The sequence below is a fragment of the Homo sapiens genome, chromosome 13, assembly GCF_000001405.40.
Source record: "Homo sapiens chromosome 13, GRCh38.p14 Primary Assembly".
Classification (NCBI taxonomy): domain Eukaryota; kingdom Metazoa; phylum Chordata; class Mammalia; order Primates; family Hominidae; genus Homo; species Homo sapiens.
This window is the reverse complement of record NC_000013.11, coordinates 24,432,408-24,454,747: the sequence shown is the minus strand read 5'-3', so window position 1 is coordinate 24,454,747 and position 22,340 is coordinate 24,432,408. Positions and strand designations below refer to the sequence as shown.

At 43.4% G+C, this 22,340-nt stretch overlaps 1 protein-coding gene across 1 annotated transcript in view, besides 1 other annotated feature; it reads left to right on the top strand.

The window, feature by feature from the left end:
* The window catches only part of PARP4 (poly(ADP-ribose) polymerase family member 4), a 91,848-nt gene that overhangs the window by 58,031 nt on the left and 11,477 nt on the right, over positions 1 to 22,340 (top strand). The window contains exons 23-31 of the mRNA NM_006437.4: positions 1,094 to 1,161; positions 2,155 to 2,342; positions 4,931 to 5,030; positions 7,562 to 7,732; positions 7,987 to 8,067; positions 11,018 to 11,098; positions 12,063 to 12,158; positions 12,780 to 12,902; positions 19,274 to 20,353. Coding sequence (NP_006428.2) covers positions 1,094 to 1,161; positions 2,155 to 2,342; positions 4,931 to 5,030; positions 7,562 to 7,732; positions 7,987 to 8,067; positions 11,018 to 11,098; positions 12,063 to 12,158; positions 12,780 to 12,902; positions 19,274 to 20,353 — 1,988 coding nt within the window. The remainder of the gene's footprint in view (positions 1 to 1,093; positions 1,162 to 2,154; positions 2,343 to 4,930; positions 5,031 to 7,561; positions 7,733 to 7,986; positions 8,068 to 11,017; positions 11,099 to 12,062; positions 12,159 to 12,779; positions 12,903 to 19,273; positions 20,354 to 22,340) is intronic.
* Positions 9,505 to 10,006: an enhancer, noted in NCBI's record as "OCT4 hESC enhancer chr13:25018880-25019381 (GRCh37/hg19 assembly coordinates)". NCBI's record gives its function as "activates a minimal SCP1, AML or CMV promoter by ChIP-STARR-seq in primed H9 embryonic stem cells {active_cell/tissue: H9 hESC(primed)}" and the evidence as "EXISTENCE:reporter gene assay evidence [ECO:0000049][PMID:30033119]".

The window sequence follows — 22,340 nt, the reverse complement described above, 5'->3', positions numbered from 1 at the left end:
TCACAGTGTTGCTGTGAGGAGGATTGAGCTAATGTATGTAAAGGATTTTTAAACTGTGCCTGTTCACAGTAAGTGAGATATAAATGCTACTGTTGTCATTAGCAACTGAACCAAATACAAAACCCTTGGTCTGTTGAGTAGGAGGTCCCAAGTCTAAGGACAAAACATTTGCCCTCAGCGCAGTCATAGAAAATCTATAAGGAATGGTCTCAGGAAGTATCGGGCCAGCACTGCTAGAAGGGAGGTAGTACCACCCTCCAGATGGGGCCCAGGGACGTCTCAGCCACCAGAAGGCAGCACCTCAGGGATGAGAGGTGCGTGGAGTGGAGTGAGGGGACAGTCTTATCCTATTGATTCTCATCCTCTGTGCAATCCAGCAGAAGACCCAGCCCCTTTTCCCCAGAGGTACAGTCTGCTGTTGCTGGGACAGAGGTCGGATAAGCATGGGGAGTGCAAAGGGCGTGAGCAGAGACTGGCCTTCCAGGGGCCAAGCTGCTCAGGCCATTGCAATGCCCTGCACATTTGCACAAGTGATCTGCATGTGCACATGGAATTTGACTCAACATTTTGCATAGTAAAGCACCACGGTTTGAATGCTCTATGATGTATCATTTAGAAAAATAGTGTGGTGAATTTTTTTTTTTTTTTTTTGAGACAGAGTCTCGCTTTGTTGCCCAGGCTGGAGTGCGGTGGTGCGATCTCAGCTCACTGCAACCTCTGCCTCCCGGCCTTAGCCTCCCCAGTGGCTGAGATTACAGTGCTCACCACCACACCCAGCTAATTTTTGTATTTTTAGCAGAGACAGGGTTTCACCCTGTTGACCAGAGCTGGTCTTGAACTCCTGACCTCAGGTGATACACCCACCTCGGCCTCCCAAAGTGCTGGGATTACAGGCATGAGCCACCGTGCCTGGCCTGTGGACAATCTTTTGTATGTTAAAATTATCAAACAGTTTTCTAAAAAGAAAGGTACACACATAAATATATAATATCCTTTACAACAGCCGTGATGGTATGAAATAACATTATTGTTTGTTAGTGCTCAAGCAAGTGAACGTGTGGAAGCAGCACCTCATGCTGATCTTATTACACAGGTTACAAGGAGCTATTTTCGTATCCTAAGCATATCACAAGCAATACCATGGCAGCAGAGTTCATCATGGTGAGTGCAAGAGGCTTCCTGTATCTCCTGGGTCTTTTCCTACCATGCTTTAAGGGGACCTCCAGGGCTTAGGCCACTCAAGCCACCATCAGAGCACCCCTACTCCTGTGGTTTTTGTATATTGGTGGGCTCTTTATTTCATTAATTAAAATGATAACTCATTAAGGAAAAATTGGAAATTAAAAAGAATAGAAAAAAAAAATCACCCATGTCCCAACACCCTAATGCAACTAGCATTAACAGCTTTGAGAAGTTTTCTTCTGTCCTTTGTTTTTTTTCTCTTAAAATGCAGCCAGCTTTATCTAAAAGGGTTGAGGTTTAAAAAAAAAAAAGAAAGAAAGAAAAAAGAAATGCTGGGTGTGGTGTCTCACACCTGTAATCTCAGCACTTTGGGAGGCCAGGGCGGGTGGATCACCTGAGGTCAGGAATTCGAGACCAACCTGGCCAACATGGTGAAACCCCATCTCTACTTAAAATACAAAAAATTAGCCAGGCGTAGTGACGGACACCTGTAATCCCAGCCACTTGGAAGGCTGAGGCAGGAGAATCGCTTGAACCCAGGAGGTAGAAGTTGCAGTGAGCCGAGATTGTGCCACTGCACTCCAGCCTGGGCAATGGAGCGAGACTCCATCTCAAAGAAAAAAAAAATAAATAAAATGAAATAATAATAAAATTGAGCAAGCTGAGACTGACCAGCTGCCTCAGCCAGGCTGGCAAATCCAGGGCTGATTGGATGGGACATTTCTTCCTGTAGATGTCATAGTCCTCTGGAAACTGTAAAAAATCAAATAAGCGTGAGGTGATAATATTATAGTTACTGTGTGACATGAAATAAACTAAAAGGACATAAGTTTAGTTGTTTCACAAATTAGGGAAAGAAAATATTTTCGGTGTCACCATATCCCTACACTGTCCTTAGATGTGTCAATGATGACAGCAAATGGTGACTGCATCCAACAAGGAGAACATAATCTTTCACTTCATTTCCTCCAGTCTGCCACACCTACCATGGGGAACACAGACTTCTGGAAAACACTCCGATATCTTAGCTTATTGTACCCTGCTCGAGGGTCACGGAACATCCTCCTGGTGTCTGATGGGCACCTCCAGGATGAGAGCCTGACATTACAGCTCGTGAAGAGGAGCCGCCCGCACACCAGGTTATTCGCCTGCGGTATCGGGTGAGTCTCAGAGAGCTGGTCACATAGTCCAGACCCACGGGGAGGTCGTCTTGTTGCCCTGCAGGGGACTTTGGCAAGCTTGGAAGTTGACACTAGAATACAGAAGCCTTACAGCATAGAGGGATGGGGCTCCGGGCTCCCAGCCAGACTGCCTGAGTCTCAGAACCTGGGTTGGCCACTCATTAGCTTAGCCGTGACCTTGAGCAAGTTCCTTAACCTCTCATCTGTAAAACCAAGGTGATAATGAAAATACCTACCTCCTAGGATTGCTGAGGAATAAATGAGCTCATACATAGAAAGCACTCAGAACAGAACTGAACCAAAAGCACCAAATCAGTTAGATGTTATTATTTAGCATAAGAATCCAAATCTCCGCTTGTCCCGAAGGGCCTGGGTAAACCTCCTCACTGGCTGTGCTGGACTCGTGCTGGGGGCATGTGACCTCCAGGCAGACCCCGCCAGGCTGCTTTGCTCCTTCGCATCTCTTTTCTGGCCATTATGAGCACTTGCATTTTCAAACCCTGTGGTGTGCATAGAAGCTTTCCATGAGAGGCTAACACCCCTACATTGTTGGAATTGCCCCTTCCCCATTAAAAGTTAGTTCTTTTGGATGGCACTAAGGTATGCGGTGTATGTGTAAGGAAAACATCGAACAGAGGGGGCCACTTGGTGTCTGCATAGGACTTGCCCATCCTGCCTGCCTCTGTGGCCCCTGGACTCCTACCTGTGGCCACCACCTCAGCAAGTGGTCACCAGCTATCTGGTGGCAGTGCATGGAGCAGATCCTCAGCTTCTTCATGGGGCAGAATGGGGGCCTCTTTGCTGTCCTTGCCCCTGAGCCTTGACCTGGACTCGCCCTGAGCTCCAGGAGCCAGCACCCCCAATGCCCCTCTGTGGCCCCGATGCCCCTCCATGGCCCCCAGTGTCCCTCTGTGGCCTCCGACACCCCTAGCTGCTATACTCAAGCCAGCTCTGCCTGCCTTGAGGGCTTTCTTCTCTTTGTCCTCCACTGTCACAGCTCCTGGCTCTGTTCTCTGTAATCTAAGGCCTAGCCCAGCATCACAGGCCAATGAAGAAATATATCCAGCCTGAGCAGCTCCACCAGGAGTTGTTCCTGATGGGACTTCACCTGCTGAGCTCACAGCTGCGCTCAGGGCAGCCTGTGCACCGTCTCCTGGTCTCAGCAGCCCCTCCCTGCCCCCTGCTCCCAGGTCAGGGCTCAGACACCACAGGGCAGAGGTACTGGCACCTATTCATGCCTTCCTCAGTGAGGGCCTATTCTGGGACGAACATCGGGCCCCGACTCTGGGGCTGGGAGATGGGATTTTCCCATGTGCCAGGGAGGAAATCAAGGGAGTGTGATGAGGTCAGGCTCAGAGGCTCACTCCTGTGGTCCCAGCACTTTGGGAGGCCAAAGCAGGAGGATCGCTCCAGCCCAGGAGGTCAAGGCTGTAGTGAGCCATGGTCAGGCAGTTGCACTCCAGCTTGAGTGACTGAGCAAGACCCCATCTTTAAAAATAAAAAAAAAATTGAAAAATGTAAGGCATGTGACGGGGAGTCTGGGTGTGCAGTGGGGGAGCCTGCTCCAAGAGGAGACTCTGCCAGTTAGCACCGCCCATGCCTGGAGGGGGTGGTATCCATTCTGCTTTTCTGTCGAGTTTTTGGGATCTTTCTAAGTGTTTCTCCCTCATCTTCCAAGCATGTGTTTGCAATTACAAACTCTAGTAAAGTGAGCTTCCCAGGGGTAGAGACCATCAGCCCTCCTCCTTGGCGTGAGTCCTGGTCCTCTGAGAGCCGCCCTGAAGGAGCACAGGAAGACTCCAGCCTGCCTCGCTAACAGACAGAAGCTGTAACTACCAATAACCCATGTTAGGGATCTTCTAGTCAATGTTATGATCATCACCAATTAATATGGAGGGTAAAGACAAATCCATCTTTATCCATAGGTTGAAAAACATCTTGGAAATTATTTTCATAAGCTCTTTTTCTGAAAAATAATTGATGTTTTCTTTAATATTTCAGGAGGAATTCCTCTAAGCAAGGAGTTCTTGATAGTTGTAGAATTATTGTAGAGAGAAAAGTAATAGGGCACTTGTCATTTAAATGTCAGAGATGCTCTTTGCTAGAGTGAGAGTTGCTTCTTTATGCCTTTTGCTATGTTGATGTGTATCAGATTTCAAGAGGTAGACTTTATTCACTCTTTGCCAGCTCTAGGCCTTTGGGATCAGATTCAGGTAATATTGTTATTTATGGAAATTAAGTTGATATCTTTGTCAGCATTCTGATACCTTATAGGGTTGTTTTTAGAGTCATCTACTCCCTCCCTCAGGAACTGAAAGTCAAGAATTTCAACTTTTTTCTATTTGAAGGATAAGTCAGTCCTCTGATAGATGGGAGCTTAAATTAGCCAAACTTTCAGATGTTTCCTTCTATTATCACTTTCTCTGTTTAACCTCAGCGACACACGAGTACATTCTTCCCCACGTCATGTCTCTCCTATTGAGTTGTGAGCTTTCTCAACACTGTTAACATGTACTTCAAAAATATTTCTAATGTCTTCAAAATTAAAACATGTGAAATGTGATCAGTTCTACAGCAAATCGTCACGTCTTAAGGATTTTGTCCCAGTGTGGTGCCGGAGTATTTGAATATTTTAATGCAAAATCCAAGCATAGTTGGAGAAAACAGGTATGTTTTTTAAACATCTGGTTTTATATTTATGTTTGGAAATCTCTTATTCTTCCGAGACTAAGAAATAGGAATATCTGTGTTTCCTTGAATGAGAGGGGAGCCGTAAAGAGGCAAGCACTGCCGCAGGTGTGAGCCCTGCCTCAGGACTGCACCAGCGGGAACACAGGTGTTCTTCATCAGGTCATTCTCCCAGCTTATGGTTTGATTTCTGCCTTAAAAATCATGGACTGATTTTTTTTAAAGTGAATTATTAAATATGTTTTGCTGAAATTGTTTCCTTATTATGATAAAATTTAGCATTTTAATTTTTTTTTTTTTTTTTTTTTTGAGACAGAGTCTTGCTCTGTCGCCCAGGCTGGAGTGCAGTGGCGCCATCTCGGCTCACTGCAAGCTCTGCCTCCCGGGTTCACGCCATTCTTCTGCCTCAGCCTCCCAACTAGCTGGTACTACAGGCACCAGCCACCATGCCTGGCTAATTGTTTGTATTTTTAGTAGAGATGGGGTTTCACTGTGTTAGCCAGGATGGTCTTGATCTCCTGACCTCATGATCTGCCCACCTTGGCCTCCCAAAGTGCTGGGATTACAGGCGTGAGCCACCGCGCCTGGCCATTTTAACCATTTTTAGGTGTACAATTTAGTGGTATTAGCTACATTCACAATGCTGTGCAACCATCACCATCTTCAAACTGTTTCATCAGCCCAAACAGAAACTACGTACTCATTAAGCAGTAACTCCACATTCCCTCCTACACCCAGCGCCTGCTAACCATGACTCTACTTTCTGTCTTTATGACTTTGCCTTTTCTGAGTATCTCATATAAGTGGAGTCATAGGACATTGTCCCTTTATGTCTGGCTTATTTCACTTAGCATGATGTTTTTAATGTCCATCTATGTTGAAGCATGTGTCAGAATTTCCCTTCTTTTTAAAGCTAAATAATATTCCATTGCATGGATGGACCACGTTTTGCTTATCCATTCATCTATCGGTGGACACTTGGGTTGTTTCTGTCCTTTGGCTATTGTGAATAATGCTGCTATGAGCATTGGTATACAAGTGTCTGTTTGAGTCTGCTTTCAATTCTGGATATATGTGCAGCGTGGGATTGCTGGATCATATGCTCATTTTATGTTTAGTTTTTTTGGGAATTGCCATGCTGTCTTCCATAGCAGCTGCATCATTTTACATTCCCACCACCAGTGCACCAGGATTCCAGTTTTTCCACATCCTCACCAACACTCATCATTCTTTTTTTTTTCCTTATTGATTGAAATCAATCAGCTTTTCTTTGGTTTGTTTTGGTTTTTGAGACACAGTGTTGCTCGGTCATCTAGGCTGGAGTACAGTGGTACAATCATAGCTCACCACAGCCTCAACTTTCTGAGCCCAAGCAATCCTCCCACCTCAGCCTCCAGAGTAGCTGGGACTACAGGCATATGCCACCACTTTTTTTCTTATTGTTTTTTGTTTGTTTGGTTGGTTTTTGTTTGTCGTTGGTGTTTTTTGAGACAGAGTATCACTTTTTCACCCAGGCTGGAATTCAGTGGTGCAAGCTTGGCTCACTGCAGCCCTGACATCCTGGTCTCAAGCCATCTTCCTCCCTCATCCCCCAAGTAGGTGGGACAACAGGCCCACACCACCACACCCACACCACCACACCCAGCTAATTTTCTGTAGAGACAGTGTTTCGCCATGGGCCTAGGCTGGTCTCGAATCCCAAGCTCAAGCAATCTGCCTGCCTTGGCCTCCCAAAGTGCTGGGATTACAGGCATGAGCCACTCTGCCCAGCCACCACTTGTTTTTTAATAACAGCCATCCCACTGGGTGTGAAATGGGATCTCACCGTGGTTCTGATTTGCACTTCCCTAATGACTAATGACATCAAGCATCTTTGCATGCACTTGCTGGCTTTTGTGTATCTTCTTTGGAGAAATATCTATTCAAGTACTGGAATCTACTCATACCAAGGCTGCATATTAGTAATTAGCTAAAGGCATAATTTCAGGATGCTTTGTAAATGAAAAGGATATGATCATGCTATTATTTAAAATTCTAGCTGGGCGTGGTGGCTCATGCCTATAACCCCAGCACTTTGGGAGGCTGAGGCAGATGGCTCACCTGAGGTCAGGAGTTCGAGACCAGCCTGGGCAACATGGTGAAACCCCATCTCTACTAAAAATACAAAAATTAGCTGGGTGTGGTGGTGTACGCCTGTAGTCCCAGCTACTTGGGAGGCTGAGGCAGGAAAATCACTTGAACCTGGGAGGGGGAGGTTGCAGTCAGCCAAGATTGTGCCACTGCACTCCCGCCTGGGCGACAGAGCAAAACTCCATCTCAAAATAAAATAAATAAAATAAAATAAAATTCTGTTTAAACTATTTTCGGGAAAGTACCCTGTAGCAGGAAGGAGAGAAAATACCAGAGTTATAAAATTCCCAAAGGATAGAATGTATACTTTATTTTAAATGTGAAGTAACTATTTTCTGGATGGAGCATTGAAAGAGAAATAATTCCTCTTTTATAAATAGATAGAAGACCAAATGACCAGGCTATGTTCTCCGAGTTGCCACTCTGTCTCCGTCAAATGGCAGCAACTCAATCCAGATGTGCCCGAGGCCCTGCAGGCCCCAGCCCAGGTGCCGTCCTTGTTTCTCAATGATCGACTCCTTGTCTATGGATTCATTCCTCACTGCACACAGGTAAGAAGACGCAGAGTTTGTTATTCTATGGGAAGACCAATATATTTTGCTAATTTTTTTTCTGTCTTCTTCCCTCCCCTTCTCACCAGCAGATTTTCTTCTTCTGGGAACACAGCTGGTGGTTAGCCAGGGCTTTGGGGAGGCTTCTAGTTTTTATTGAAAGGGGAGAGAAAATCACCAAAAGAATTTCTGTTAAACCAAGACACTGCAGAGTGGAAAGGCTAATGAGGAATTTATTTTTTTCCCCATTTCAGGCAACTCTGTGTGCACTAATTCAAGAGAAAGAATTTCGTACAATGGTGTCGACTACTGAGCTTCAGAAGACAACTGGAACTGTAAGATTCAAAACCTAAACTATCAACCCATTGTTTGAAAGTTATGATTTTATATTTCCATATATAATGCTCTATGTCAAGCTTGTCCAACCCACGGCCCAGGGCAGCTTTGAATGCAGCCCAATACAAATTCGTAAACTTTCTTAAAACATTATGAAATTTTTTTTCAAGTTTTTGTTTTCAGCTCATCGGCTATCGTTAGTGTTAGTGTATTTTATGTGTCACACAAGACAGTTCTTCCTCTTCCACTGTGGCCCAGGGAAGCCAAAAGATTGGATACCCCTGCTGTCTGTACTTTGTTGTTTTCCTGTGTTGAAATTTCATTACACAATATGGAGATGGACTATATGTACAAATGAGTATACTTTCCTTCAGTTTCTAATGCAGCACTTCTTCATCTGGGGTAGTTTGGTCTAGGTATGTCTATATGGGCATCAGTGGGTGGCAATAACTGCAATTAAGTATGGCATTTATGCATGGAAATTTTGCTAGAGAGGTTCTCAAAGATGTTCATAACTCAATAAAGGTACATGCCACTGGCCTACTGATGCTATTTAGAAATACTAGTTATAATAATACTGGACTAAGAGTAGATCATATCGTATATTGAGGATGTGGGTTTATTTCCTTTTTTGATTAAAAGCAAATGAATTATGAAAGAAAAAATTCCTGTTTCCCAAATACACCATTTCTGGTTTCCAGATATGTGTTTTTCCCAACCAATTCTCTGACACCAGTTGCATGTCCTACAATTTAATTCAATTCTGACACTGGCCGCCTGGGGTTGGCACAGACCTCACAGAGTTGAGGGCTCAGTCCCACAAGACTGATTCCAACTCCAGACACCGGTAGCAAGTAGCAGGTCCCCAGGTTACCCACACTTCTGGTCAGCTCCAAGTCAGTGTTCCCACAACCCTTTCTCACAGAAATTTCTCAAATTTCTTACAGTAATTTGCTGTAACAGCTCACAGAACTCAGGAAAAGTTTACCTTAGTATTACTGATTTATTGTAAAGAATATTATAAAGGATACGAATGAACAGCCAGATGAAGAGGTATACAGGGTAAGGCCCAGAATAGTCCCAAGCACAGGAGCTTCTGTCTAACATACAGTTGGGGTGCACCATCCTCCTGGCACATGAGTGCTGACCCAGAAGCTCCCTGAACCCCTTTAGGTGGGGTTTTTAATGCAGGTTTCATTACAAAGGCCTGGTTGATTAAATCATTGGCCATTGGTGATTAACTCTCCCCTCTCTGGAGGTTGGGGAGTGGGGTTGAAGTCCCAGCCCTCTAATCATATGGTTGGTTCCCCAGCAACCAGCCCTCATTCTAGGGACTTTCTAAAAGTCACCTCATTAACATAAACTCAGGTGTGGTTGAAGGGTCCTGTTAGGAATAACAAATACATACATTTCTTATGTCTGTAGGGAAGTTCAGACTTTCCCTCTGAAGTTTCCATGTTTGGTCTATAAAATAATCCAACGATAGATTAACAGGGGAAGAGACATGCAGATGTCGTTACGTGTGCACGAGCCACGTGAGACTCAAAGAAGGGCCAGATGAGTGAAGTTTCATACCGTACAGAGGCGGGTAGGATTGTGGGGCTCCTGGGGGAGGTGGGGACAGGTTGTGGGAGGGTGAGGGGAAGAAACACGTGGTGAGCAAAGGCTTTCTTGTGATGCAGATGAAGTCTGGCAGGCAGCAGCCCTGAGAGAATAGAAGCACCTCTGGTAACGGTTTCTCTATCATCCCTTTAAAGTATCAGACTTTAGCCTCCTCTTCCTGGGAGTTCATCTTTCCTAAATCTGGATAAGGCAGATAAGGGGGTCTCAGAGAAAGCCTGTTTGCATCTGCTGTTTCCTTCACTGACATACGATTCCTCTGCAGATGCAAATATTCCCTGCAAAAGGACTGCTTTTCAGAGCTACTCCTATGTCTGCTGTCCCTCTGAATAGCATCTCAAAATATGCCAAAGAAGTCTCTTTTGGGGTGGCCTATTTTAGCTTTTTGCATATCACAATATCACAAATTATTACCAAGAAGTTTGTAATATTTGCACTGGTACTGAATCCACTGTAGTTTAGCCTTGAAAGTTCCTAGCCTATATATGCTATTTATGTAGTTTTTTTATTCAAAGGAGTATCAGTATAACCAGATAAATCATTTCCCAGACATTGCTGGGTTTTTTTCTCAAAAGTGCACAGCTTACTTTTCAGCACTAAATCGGTATCATTGACTTACTAGTTGCCAGTGACTTATGTATAGAACTTAAGCTCAATATTGCTTTAAAAATTAGATCTTTGTGGGTACTGATAAGGGAGAATAAATTAAAAGTATATTTTTAAAAATTAGATCTAAGGGGGAAAGAAGGTAAAATAATTTTACCTGGGAAGAGGTCGTTTTCCATAAAGTCACAGCAAGTTGTACTTCCTCTGTGAGAAGCAGCCTTATCAATGACAAATTACAAGAGTTGGAATGAAGGGAAGTTCCATCTCTCAGTTGTTGGAGAGGAAGCACCTGGTGGTGCACATTGTGCAGTCTTCACCCTTCAGAGTGCAGACCATGTTCACGGACGGGCATCCCAGGGCCAAGGTGGCTCTTCCCATGGTAGAAAAGAAGTTTTCAATTTTTTAAATAAAATGAATTAGCAAAATGGCCTTTTATAGAAAAAGCAAAACTCTAGGGACAGAAAGCAGATGAGGAGCTGCCAGGGCTTGAGGAAGCTACACGGGCACACAGGAACTTTTCAGGGAAAAGAGAATGTTCTGTGTCTTCACTTCAACAGTGGTCACACAACTGTATACATCCCTTAAGACTCATCAAACTGTGTATTTAAGAGGAGTGCATTTTACTGTATGCAGATTATACCTCCATTTTTAAAATGATGTTCTTTGCAAGTCTTATATTAGAAGCCATGTGAATATTTTTTTTCCTTTGCTGCTTAAACACAGATGATCCACAAGCTGGCAGCCCGAGCTCTAATCAGAGATTATGAAGATGGCATTCTTCACGAAAATGAAACCAGTCATGAGGTTTGTTCTTTTCATTGTAAAAATGATTAGACATTCTTCTTGAGCATTCTTACATTGATTTTATCTGTGGAAATGGAAAGTGAGGTCAGCTGCGTGGAGAAGGAGACTGGTGTCAGGGCATTCATCACTGTATCTGTGACACTGTGCCTGGGATGTGGGGTGTGTGGTAAATGTTTGTTGAATGAATTAACAAAAGGATGGATGTCAGTGGTTTCCAGAAAATTCTGTAATGTTTTACTTATCAGAAGAAGCCAGAGGAGGGCTCAGAGAACACTCGCTGAGTGCCTGTAGTGGACGTCACCTCAGATCTCTCGTGTGGTAGCGTTAGTATTCCCATCTTACTGATGAGAGGCCTGAGAGCGAAATGCTGAGTGACCTGCCAAAGCCCACCTGACTCCCCCCATGCTGTGCAGACCAGGGCCTCAGCAGAGGGGCTCCTCAGCCAGGCCACCGGGACTGCCCAGCTGTTCTCTGAGGGATGAGATCTTCAACAAGGCTGTGAACGTTAGTCCTCAATGCCATCCCCACAAGAAGGTGACAGCAGGCCCTGGAGACCCTCACAGTCAGTTCTAGTGACAGATGGTCACCTGGTGGTCTCCCTATTCTCCTCAGATGCTGCTGGGTTGGCAGCCTCTGTGTGCTGTTTTGTTTAAGGCCCTTTTATCCTGAACAAGTCATTCCATCTTTCCAATTCCTCAGCTTTAAATTGGGAGCCACAGACTGTGAAAGAATGAGAAAGCCCACTGCCCGGGAGAGCTCTCTGAACTAGAGGGAGCTGAATAATGAAGAGCGACACTTTCTATGACTAAGTCAGTTCATCTCATTTTAAAGGGAATATTGAGCCACCGATTTAGATGGGACCTGCAATTCAATATTTAGTCTGAAATACGAATCTTAAAATGATTTACTGACATAGCGAAATAGAAATAAAACAGGACATGATTTATGTTTTATTCTATCCTAGATGAAAAAACAAACCTTGAAATCTCTGATTATTAAACTCAGTAAAGAAAACTCTCTCATAACACAATTTACAAGCTTTGTGGCAGTTGAGAAAAGGGTATGTATTATTGGTAATTCGAGGTTAAATTATTTTATTTGTATTTCCACATTAAGAAAGTCACCCTTGCTTTGATGGTTAATGACGACATCCACACCCTGGGCCTGGGAAGTGTGGGTTGCAGACAGGTCAGCAGGCCCCACGAGTCCCAGCCTCCCATTCATGGGGGGCTTCGGTGTTGGGACTTAGGGTGATCTTTCTAAATGAGTTGAGTATGTTATCATTTTTAATGTTATTATTAACAATTGGCTAATGTGTACTTTTCGGTTATACTATAATTTTGTTACAGTTTTGGCGTTTATTGTCTTTTATTAATCCAAGACCCTCAAAAAATAGAAAAGGCCGAAAAGGCCTGGGTTCCCTGAGAGCCCTTCCCCTTCATAAGTTTAAGGGGGAAATTCACGTAACGTGCCCAGCACAGTGGCCAGCACCTGCCAGTGCTCCGTAAAGAGGAAAGCCACTCCACCTCCCCACTTCCCCTCACGCTTGTGGCCCACGGCACAAGCTCCAGTCCCACACACCAGCATATCCCAAACCAACACCCCATAGGCTTTAGAATGTGTAGTCATCATTTAATTGGATAACATCTGTTTGATTTAATCTATTTGTGATTCAATATAGGATGAGAATGAGTCGCCTTTTCCTGATATTCCAAAAGTTTCTGAACTTATTGCCAAAGAAGATGTAGACTTCCTGCCCTACATGAGCTGGCAGGGGGAGCCCCAAGAAGCCGTCAGGAACCAGGTAAATGCTGATTACCGAATAAGTTGATATTGAGCTTTCGTTTTTTCATGAAGATGAAGGGAACCCTTTGCTAAAATAGCTCCCTTCTTACCTGTACATGAAGAAGTTGTATCCCTGATGATGGAAAATATTCATGCATTTATAAAATGTTGAATTACATCATGTTGCATTACAGAGACTTCACAATGTGTGAATGGAGCTGTATAGTACAAAAAGAGAACACCTCTGGCTGTGCTTCTATCATGGGCAAATAGATTGTCATCCAGGAAGCTAAAGTCATTTAGGTAGTATAATAGGTTTGTCATGAAATTATCAATAGAAGTGCTATCTAATAATCTAAATTCACCACCAATATTTCTTAAAGTTTATAGTGCTTTATACCGTGGCCCTTATAACCAGAAACATAATAGAAATGGAAAAATGTGGCTTAAATAAAAATTGGAAGAAAAATTCAAAAACAAAGGAACAACACAGTGCTGACAACCCTCTTAGGTCTCTAGGTTAAAAAACTAAAATTTCCAGAATTTAAAAATTTAAAATCTGATCCGGCACCGTGGTTCACGCCTGTAATCCCAGCACTTTGGGAAGCTGAGGTGGGAAAAATCACTTCAGCCAGGAGTTTGAGACCAGCCTGGGCAACAAAGCGAGACCTCATCTCTACAAAAAGTCTTTTAGGGCGGGCACAGTGGCTCATACTTGTAATTCCAGCACTATGGGAGGCTGAGGCAGCAGACGACTTGAGCCCACAAGTTCAAGACCAGCCTGGGCAACATGGTGAAACCCTGTCGCTACAAAAAAATACAAAAATTAGCTGGGCGTGGTGGTGCTTGCCTGTAGTCCCAGCTACTCAAGAGGCTGTGGCAGGAGGATGCTTGCACCTAGGAAGCAGAGGTTGCAGTGAGCCAAAATGGCACCCCTACACTCCAGCCTTAGTGACAGAGTGAGGATTTGATCATAAATAAGAAAATAATATACGAAAGATGTGCAACCTTGTTTCTAAAAGAAGTTAAAATGTAAACTGCCATGAGATTCCTTTTTATTTTTTAACTCTGTCAGGTTGGCAAAGATCACAAAAGGTAGATGATTGAAAGTCAGTAAACACAGTGGTTAAGATCACAGGTGCTGTGGCCGAATGCTCAGGTCTGAACCCCAGCCCGCGCTTCACTCTCTGGGACTTGACCTTCCCAGTGCCCCAGTCCTAATGCCCTAGTGGGGAGAGCAGTAAAATCCACCTCAGGTGGTTGTGAAGAGTTCTAAGACCATTCCAACACGTCTAGCTCCTGGATATTTGATAAATATTAGCTGTAGTTATTAATTCTCAAAGGTGTCTGAAACGGGCACTGTTGCCCAAACAGATGGGGCAGAAAGCTGAAAAGTGGCCTTGGGTTTGGAGGGATACTTGATTTCTTTTTTTTTTTTTTTTTTTAATTTTAATTTTTTTTTTTTTTGAGATAGAGTCTCGCTCTGTCGCCCAGGGTTGAGTGCAGTGGCATGATCTCAATTCACTGCAACCTCTACCTCCTGGGTTCAAGCAATTCTCGTTCCTCAGTCTCCTGAGTTGCTGAGATTACAGGTACGCGCCACCACACTCAGCTAATTTTTGTATTTTTAGTAGAGATGGGGTTTCACCATGTTGGCCAGGCTAGTCTCGAACTCCTGATTCACCCGCCTCGGCCTCCCAAAGTGCTGGGATTTCAGGCATGGGCCACTGTCCCCAGCCTTGCTTTCTTACAGTGCACCCTTTTGTATATTTTGAATTTTGAACCATGGGCATGGATTGCCCATGAAAGAAAAATAATACTTTAAGCAAACACAAAGAGTTTGGGGAGTCAGGAGTAGTAGGAGGTGCATTCAGCCAGGCTCAGGTGGCCCCGTAGGCTCACCCACAGGCAGGGCAGATGTTGGCAACATCGTGGGCTCCCACACTGGTCCGGACTTCCAGGTCAGCCAAAGAATGGGACTCAGGGCTGCTTGAAGGAAAGCGAGGGGCTAAGCTGAGGGGCTGTGACCTGTGGCCTCTCTCTGACTGCACAGGGGCCCTTGGAGTGCATTGTTTTGGGGAAAAAAAAATTCTGATGTACAATTAAGAATCAACTGTTTGTCCTTGAGACTTACTGTTAAAATGGGCCCTGGAAAATATATACTTATCTTATATGTGCTTCAAAAGGGCACACCCAGAAGCAGCTCTGAAAATGGAGATGGTCATGGTTGCACAACAGTGTGAATGTACCTCGTGCCACTAAACTCTAAAAATGACTAACATAGCAAACATTGTTATATACATTTTTCCCACAATAAAAATTAAATTAACAAAAATAAGAGATACGCCCCTACACTCTGCTACATATGTTAAGTGTTTTGTTCACAGAAAAGGTCTGGAGGGATATAGGCCATAGATCAGATAAGACATTCTGTATGGCTTTTATTTTCTTCTTTGTGTCTGTCTACTTGTGTCTACTTGTATTTTCTAATTTTCTCATAGTGCACATGTGTTGTTTTTAGATTTTTTTTTTTTTTTTGAGACAGGGTCTTACTCTGTTGCCCAGGCTGGAGTGCAGTGGCACCATCATAGTTCACCGCAGCCTCGACCTCCTGGGCTCTAGAGATCCTCCTACCTCAGACTCCCAAGTAGCTGGGATTACAGGAGCGAGCCACCATGCCTGGCCTGTTTATAGAAATTTTTGAAATTATTTTCAAAATTGGTTCTAAATTAATTTAGGTTTTAATACAGTGTGATGATAAATTATTTCATACTAAATTTGCAAATACGTTGGATCTTAATACTTCCAGATCCAAACATATCAGATGAAAAATATTATCCATTAGCTTGATGACTTGAAAGTTTATGTTAGCTGCAATAAGTTGTTTGAACGGACCATGTAATTTAGCAAAAATGTCAAGCCTCTGTTACTCTTCCTCGATATCTGTTTTACCAAAATGTGGCACCTGCCGCATTCTACACGGAGTCATTCCACTGAATTCAGTAACACGCCAGCCGCAATAGAGCCCGGACATCCAGGTCTGTTTGGTCCTTCCCGACTCGCTGAAGCTTGGGGCATTTCCTTATTTGATACATCTTCATTGTGAAATGAGACCCTCCAGGGAGCGCAACACCTTTTCTGCTGGGACGTGCTCAGGAAGGACAGCGCTCAGTGCTGTGTGCTCTTGTCCTCCCACAGCCACGCCTGGGCTTAGGCGCAGTGTCTTCTGCACCAACCCCAAATCCACTTCGTTCCCTCCCGCTCATGAAAGCACATTGAGAACAAGCGAGAGGCAGAGATTTTTAAAACATACCTCCTAATCCAAGTTTTTAAAGTAAATCATTTGTAAAATTCAGTGCTATAACTCTTAGCAAGAAATTGAGGGCACTGAAGCTGAGGGTCCAGAGCCCACGCTGTTCCTTAAATCAGGGGTCCCCAACCCCCAGTCCCTGGCCTGTTAGGAACCAGGCTGCACAGCAGGAGGTGAGGGGCAGTGAGGGAGCATTACCGCCTGAGCTCGCCTCCTGTCACGTCAGCAGCGGCAGTAGATTCTCATGGGAGCCCCGAACCTGTTGTGAACTGTGCATATGGAACATGTGGAATACTTTCATCCCAAAACCATCTGCCCCACCCCTGTCCATGGAAAAATTGCCTTCCATGAAACCAGTCCCCACTGCCATAAAGGTTGGGGACCACACCTTAGGTGATCAAGATGTGAGTATGTGGTTAAGCAAAATAAGCAATTGTGAACTTGAAGGGAAAGAGGAAGCAAGTGAGTGATTTTGACAAATAGAAGAATCATAATGAGGCCAGGCACGGTGGCTCATACCTGTAATCCCCACACTTTGGGAGGCCAAGGTGGGTGGATCACCTGAGATCAGGAGTTCAAGACCAGCCTGGCCAACATGGTGAAACCCTGTCTCTACTAAAAAATACAAAAATACTATTCAAGAAGGAGTTTTATAAAATAAACAAAAATGACCCGTATTTCTCAGTATGATTCTTTTTTTTTTTTGAGATGGAGTCTCACTCTGTCACCCAGGCTGGGGTGCAGTGACTATTCACAGGCTCTATCACAGAGCACTACAGCTTTGAACTCCTGGCCTCCAGCGATCCTCTCACCTCAGCCTCCTGAGTAGCTGGGATGCTCCACAATACCTGACTTAATCAATTTTTTGATCTTTGCATATCTTACAGGTGAAAAATGTATTGGTGACATTTAAGTTTTTGTTTCTTTATGAATGAAGAGGAGCATGTTTTATATTCTTACAGCCCTATGTATCACTTCCTGGGTGTTATCTGTTCACATCTTTTATTTTTTTAATTGAGATTTTAGTCATTTTTTTATTTATCTTAGGTAAACTTTTTATGTTAGGGAAATTAGCCCTTTGTGATATGAGTTGTGAAAATTTGTTTCCCGGTATTCCACATGTTATTTTGATGTTGCTTATTATCTTTTGGTCATGCAGATTTTTTAATGCAGTCAAATTTTTAATCTTTGTGTTTCTTCTTTTTGTTTAGTGTTGTTTTGCTTTTCATCATGCTTAGAAATACCTTTCCTAGTCAGAGATTATACTTTTAAAATTTTTCCCTTTATTTTTAAAATAGTTTTATGTTTTCATGTTTACATTCAATTTTTCATCTGATTGAAATTTATCCTAGCATAGGATAAGAGATATGGAACCAACTTTATTCTTTTCCAGATGGCTCCTCCTTTTCCTCTTATTGACTTGAAATGCCACCTTCATAATCTAGTAATTCTCAGATTTAGGAGCTATTGCTGGACTTACCTACTCTGTTCCATTGATTCGTCTACTATAATTATTATAATTTTATAAGAGACTTTAATATCTGATAGTTCTAGTCCATCACTATTGATTGGTTTTTTCCAGTTTGCTTCTCTAATTTTTAAAAATTTAACCTCTGGTTAGCATTATTTTAAAATATGTCTTTTCATATGTTCTATAATATTAATTATTCAGGTATAAACTTGAAATTTGACTGAGTTGGGAAAGGACTACTCCTTTTTTAAATCATTCATATTCACAGGTAAAATTACAGGCTAATTATTTCAAAAATATCAAGGACTTGACATGCATATAAAACTGGATTTTATACATGCAACTTTTTAAGGAACACTCTTTACATTTAGATTGAAACAATAGTAGTAATATAGCATCCCTCAAAATTTGTTTTACATACATATTGTTCATGTTCTAGTATAATTATATGTTCATTTAATTACTTGAAAGCTTTTGGCTGGACACAGTGTCTCACACCTGTAATCCTAGCACTTTGAGGGGCCAAGCTGAGAGGATCACTTGAGCCCAGGAGTTCAAAACCAGTCTGGTCAACATAATGAGACCACATCTCTACAAAAGAATAATTTAAAAATTAGCTGGGTATGGTGTCACATGCTCATAGTCCCAGCTACTGGGGAGTCTGAGGCGAGAGGATCACTTGAGCCCAGGAGTTCAAGGCTATAGTGAGTTGTGATTGTGCCATTGCACTCCAGCCCCAGGCAACAGAGCAAGACCCTGTCTCAAAAAATGAGTAAGTAAAAATAAATAAAGCTTTTGAGACTGTTTTTCCATTTTGATCTCATTTTCTTAATATTGCTGTAAAGCAGTATAAAAACTGCAATAATTGACTTCAAATGACTGTCTTATTTTAGGCCTAAGTACACCCTGTGATACTGCTCATTGTAAAATCTTGGGCAAGTCACTTCTGTGCTCCTCAGTTCCCTCATGTGTAAAATGAGGGGTGTTTAAAATTCCGCAATTCTAAGAACTAAGAACTAAGAGAGAAGGTCTTTCAATATATTGATTGCTGATATTCTCTCCAGGTCTCAGCTTCCATGTCTAGAAATAGACAGCCTTGTACTGAAATGATCTTGAATGTCTCTGGTGGCATTATTTTCTTTCTTTCTTTTTTTTTTTTTTTTTTTTGAGACAGAATATTGCCCTCTCACACAGGCTGGAGAGCAGTAGTGCAAATCTGTTCTCATAGCTGCCTCAGCCTCTCAGGCTCAAGCACTCCTCCTGCCTCAGCCTCCCAGGTGGCTGGGACTACAGTCATGAGCCACTACACCTGTCTAATTTTTTATTTTTTGTAAAGATGGAGCCTCGCTGTGTCACCTAAGCTGTTCTCAAACTCCTAGCCTTGAGCGATCCTTCCTCCTCGGCCTCCCAAAGTGCTGAGATGACACGCGTGAGCTGCTGCACGCAGCACTGGTGTTATTTTCAACATCCCAGCTCACATTGATGATCCTGATTCTGGATGAGCAACTGCCTGATGGGTGGGAAGTCAAGTGCTAGGAAGAATGTTTGCTTGATTGTTCTTTTTATTCTGTGTTTTCCCCTTACGTTAATAATTCTGTCTTCTGGGCAGTCTCTTTTAGCATCCTCTGAGTGGCCAGAATTACGTTTATCCAAACGAAAACATAGGAAAATTCCATTTTCCAAAAGAAAAATGGAATTATCTCAGCCAGAAGTTTCTGAAGATTTTGAAGAGGATGGCTTAGGTGTACTACCAGCTTTCACATCAAATTTGGAACGTGGAGGTGTGGAAAAGCTATTGGATTTAAGTTGGACAGAGTCATGTAAACCAACAGCAACTGAACCACTATTTAAGAAAGTCAGTCCATGGGAAACATCTACTTCTAGCTTTTTTCCTATTTTGGCTCCGGCCGTTGGTTCCTATCTTCCCCCGACTGCCCGCGCTCACAGTCCTGCTTCCTTGTCTTTTGCCTCATATCGTCAGGTAGCTAGTTTCGGTTCAGCTGCTCCTCCCAGACAGTTTGATGCATCTCAATTCAGCCAAGGCCCTGTGCCTGGCACTTGTGCTGACTGGATCCCACAGTCGGCGTCTTGTCCCACAGGACCTCCCCAGAACCCACCTTCTTCACCCTATTGTGGCATTGTTTTTTCAGGGAGCTCATTAAGCTCTGCACAGTCTGCTCCACTGCAACATCCTGGAGGCTTTACTACCAGGCCTTCTGCTGGCACCTTCCCTGAGCTGGATTCTCCCCAGCTTCATTTCTCTCTTCCTACAGACCCTGATCCCATCAGAGGTTTTGGGTCTTATCATCCCTCTGCTTCCTCTCCTTTTCATTTTCAACCTTCCGCAGCCTCTTTGACTGCCAACCTTAGGCTGCCAATGGCCTCTGCTTTACCTGAGGCTCTTTGCAGTCAGTCCCGGACTACCCCAGTAGATCTCTGTCTTCTAGAAGAATCAGTAGGCAGTCTCGAAGGAAGTCGATGTCCTGTCTTTGCTTTTCAAAGTTCTGACACAGAAAGTGATGAGCTATCAGAAGTACTTCAAGACAGCTGCTTTTTACAAATAAAATGTGATACAAAAGATGACAGTATCCTGTGCTTTCTGGAAGTAAAAGAAGAGGATGAAATAGTGTGCATACAACACTGGCAGGATGCTGTGCCTTGGACAGAACTCCTCAGTCTACAGACAGAGGTATGTGTCTTATTTCTCCTTAAATCTGTGGTTGGCTGGCTTCATAGTTTAGAACGGGGCTCCTCAAAGCAGCTGGTCAAGGAACCGTCTATCATCAGTCTGTAGTGAAGGAAGGGGTTGTACACTGGGTATAAATCATACTGCTTCCTTCATTGAGGAACTCTTGCTACAAAACAAAACAGACAGCTGAACAAAACAGTGTGCTTGATGCTGGCTGGTGTTTCTCTACAAACATTAGACCAGAACCTCATGCTGGTGAATGTTACTATTCCTCACATGAAAATGAACATCTCTGAACAGATGATGGGGTGAGATCTTAATTTCCTAGATTCTAGAACTAATGGATTGTAATCCACATAAATTTCCCACTGTGAAGTAGAGCACAAGCACTTGTACCTGTACTCTAAATATTTTCACATAGGTCATGGGAATACAGATATTATTCAACATGTATATTGTGTTAGAGCTTATCACTCCATTTGTTAAGCTGATAAACACCCTGTAGATTTGGCCCCATCGCTGGTACTAAGACCCAGTCCTGCATCTGTGATTACTTGTTTTGGTGTCAAGTAGTTTAGTGAAACGGAAAGGGCTTGATGTAGTATAAAAGTAAGCCTGAGTCCCAGCCCACTTTGTGATTTGGGGCAAGTCAGGTAACCTGTCTGAGCCTCAGCTTCCTCATCCATATAGTGGAGATAATGATAGTGTCTACTTCACAGAGTGGGTTTGAGATTTAAACAGGATAATCACAGCTGCCCAGTTTCCCTACTTGAGACAGTGCACCCAAAAGCCTGCCAGGAGCATACTGCAGATGGTCAAGAGTGTGGATCCCACGGCCACTCCTGGCTCTGCTGCTTGTTAGCTGTGAGACTTTAGACAAATTGCTTTACCTTTCTGTGCCTCCATGTTCTCATCTCCAGTGTGGGTGTGATAATAGTTGTTGGGGTGATCAGACCCAACACCAGGTCATGGGGGTGACAAAGTCCAGTGGAGTCAAAGGATTGAGAAAAAGACAGTTTGAGAGAGAAAGGTGGGACACCAGTATGCCATCACTATGGTGGAGGCTGCGAAGGCCCCGAGCTCTGGGAGCCCACGGTATTTATTGATAATCCAACAAAGAAACAGATGGTGAGAATGTGGAGGTCAAAAGGACACGTTGCATTAAGTACATGATTTACAGCTGCGATGGTTTAGCATTTATATGGAACATATTCTGCTACTTGAGATAATGGGAACAGGAGCCTAGGAAGGCTAGAAGCAAGGAGCCAGCAAGTCTAGACACATTCCAGAGGACGTTACGCAAGCCCTGCCTCAGTTTCCCTCCCAACACTCAGCTTTTTCCCAACAATAGTACTCCACAGGAAGTGGCTAAACATATCAAAGAACAGCACCTGGTACCACTTCTCTATGGGTTGGTACATATTATCACTGCGGTCATTTTTCAAGGTATTGCCATAGATTCTTCAACCTGTGCACCTGCCTAGGACCACACCCTGCTTTCTACTCCCTGTGTTGGTTTCCCTAGGGTCTTGATTCTGTCTCCGTTGAGGTTAATATCCCCAAGCTCAGGCTTAGCACATTCTCCTGTGCATGTGATGGGGCAGGCAGATGATGGGGGATGCAGGGAAGGTAGTTTTAAAGTGCATGTTTAATATAACAATTTTATGCTTAGAAAAAACTGTCATTTTCATGTTTCAGACTACATCAGGGTACATTTTTATGTTAAACCAAAGGAATCATGCTGGAGATCTACTGTACAATACAGGGCCTATGATTGACAATCCGATGTGGTATACTGAAGCATTTGCTAAGAGGTCTATCTTATGTTAAGTACTCTTTCCACAAAAGGGAACAAAACAAAGCAAAAGGGGTGGAAGGAAAGTTCTGGGAGTGGTGGCTAAGTTCATGGCATTGATAAGTGATGGTTTGATGGTTTCACAGGTGTATATTTAACTCCAAACACATCAAGTTGTATACGTTAAATGTT